The sequence below is a fragment of the Homo sapiens genome, chromosome 4 (assembly GCF_000001405.40).
Source record: "Homo sapiens chromosome 4, GRCh38.p14 Primary Assembly".
NCBI lineage: Eukaryota > Metazoa > Chordata > Mammalia > Primates > Hominidae > Homo > Homo sapiens.
Genome location: NC_000004.12, coordinates 117,940,881 through 117,943,162, shown reverse-complemented (window position 1 = coordinate 117,943,162; position 2,282 = coordinate 117,940,881). Strand labels below are relative to the sequence as shown.

At 48.5% G+C, this 2,282-nt stretch overlaps 1 annotated feature.

Annotated features, from left to right (window-relative positions):
* Positions 1,296-1,967: an enhancer, noted in NCBI's record as "H3K4me1 hESC enhancer chr4:118862351-118863022 (GRCh37/hg19 assembly coordinates)". NCBI's record gives its function as "activates a minimal SCP1, AML or CMV promoter by ChIP-STARR-seq in naive H9 embryonic stem cells {active_cell/tissue: H9 hESC(naive)}" and the evidence as "EXISTENCE:reporter gene assay evidence [ECO:0000049][PMID:30033119]".

Genomic DNA, 2,282 nt, shown 5'->3' with positions numbered 1-2,282 from the left:
TCTATCCATTTCAGCAATAAGGCTGTTTCCCTTTCTTATTGTTCCTGTGTTCACTGGAGTAGCACTTTAATTTTTTCGAGAACTTTTGCTTTTGCATTCACAACTTGGCTGTTTGGCACAGGAGGCCTTGCTTTCAGCTGATCTCTGTTTTTGACATGCCTTCCTCACTAAGCTTAATCATTTCTAACGTTTTATGTAAAGTGAGAAACGTGTGACTCTTTCTTTCCCTTGAACAACTAGAAGCCATTATAGGGTTATCAATTTGCCTAATTTCAATATTATTGTGTCTCAGCGAACAGAAGGGCCTGAGGAGAAGACAGAGATAAGAGATAGGAGAAAGGATGGTGGTGGAGAAGTAAGAACACACATGTATTTAGTTTGCCATCTTTTTTTATTTTTTATTTTTTAATTATTTATTTATTTATTTTTTGAGAGGGAGTCTCGTTCTGTGGCCCAGGCTGGAGTGCAGTGGTGTGATCTCAGCTCACTGCAAGCTCCGTCTCCCGGGTTCATGCCATTCTTCTGCCTCAGCCTCCAGAGTAGCTGGGACTACAGGCGCCTGCCACCACGCCCAGCTAATTTTTTGTATTTTTAGTAGAGATGGGGTTTCACCATGTTAGCCAGGATGGTCTCGATCTCCTGACCTCGTGATCCACCCTCCTAGGCCTCCCAGAGTGCTGGGATTACAGGCGTGAGCCACCGCGCCCAGCCTAGTTTGCCATCTCATATGGTCATGAATTATGGCACCCCAAAACATTTACAATAGTAAAATCAAAGATCACTGATTGCAGATCACCATAATATATATAATAAAAATAAAAATGTTTAAAATATTGTGAGAATTACCAAAATGTGACACAGAGTCATGAAGTAAACACGTGCTGTTGAAAAGCGGGCCGTTGAAAAGCATGTGCTGACTTCAGACGGTGGGGCCAAGATGGCTGACTAGAAGCAGCGCGGTTGGGAGGCTCTCTTCAGAAAAAAGGATAATAAACGTGTGAATCCTTCACCAGCAACCAAGGTATCCAGATTCTCTCACCAAAACTGACTAGAACGCTGGCGTGACCCATGCAGAAAAGGAAGAGCAGTGTGGTGCTGCGGCCCACTTGAGAACCACACAGGGAAGGGGAACCCCATCCCCCCAGCCAAGGGAGGCAGTGACTGAGCATGCTATCCAGCCGGGGAAACTGTGCTTTTTCCATGAAACTGTGCAACCCATGGATCAGAGTATCCCTCTTACGAATCCATGCGACTGGGGCTTAGCGTCCCAACCCCAGAACACACAGATTTTTAGAGCCTCTCAGCTGGAGTCTGCTTAAGCTTACTGAACTCCCACGGGGAGGGGCAACCAGCACAGGCTGTGGCTGCCTCCTGTCTAAGCCATTTGAGCTCCTTGGGGGAGGGGCAGCAACCAGCACTGAGACTCACAACTGCCTAACATGCTAATCTTCCTGGGCAGGAGAAGGGTGGCACCCATTTCCAGAGCTCCAGTCTGTGCTTTTCCCCTGCTGGAGCCAGGGAAGCTGGGTGGCTTGGCCCCAAGAATTGTCCCCACAGCCCAACACACTGGCTGTGGCAGTGTGCAGCCAGAGTGCCTCTTCAGGTCTAAACTTGACCCATCCTTTCTCAGTGGACAGGGCTTCCCTGCAGGATCTCCAATAACGCCAGCCAGAGGCTCAGGAACAGAATTTGGAACTCCCTGGGCCTGAGCCCCTAGGGGGAGGCATGGCCACAGTCTCTGCTGACCAGCAGACTTAGTCTCTCCTCCTGGCAGTTCTGAGGAATCTGGGCAGCCCAGACGAGTGAGTTTCCCCCAAGAAAAGCACAACCTCTCCACCAAGGGACAAAGTGCTTTGTTAAATGCATCCTGTTCCCTGTGACACCCAACTGGGTGAGACCCTTCAACAGGGGTTGTCAGACACCCTATATAGGAATAATCCTGCTGGCATCAGGTTGGTGCCCCTTGAGGTCAGAGGTTCCAGCAGAAGGAGCAGGCACCCATCTTTGCTGCTCTCCAACTTCCTTGAGTCACATCTCCAGGCACGGGAGCAAATCAGATGAATAAGGTCTGAAGTGAACCCCCAGCAAACTGCAGCAGCCCTACAGAAAAGAGACCCGACTATTGAAAGAAAAACAAACAAGCAGAAAGCAACAACGACAACAACAAAAAGGTCCCCACAAAAACCCCATCCAAGAGTCAGCAGCCTCAAAGACTGAAACCAGACAAACTTATAAAGCTGAGAAAGAATCAACAAAAAAATGCTGAAAACCCAAAAGGCCAG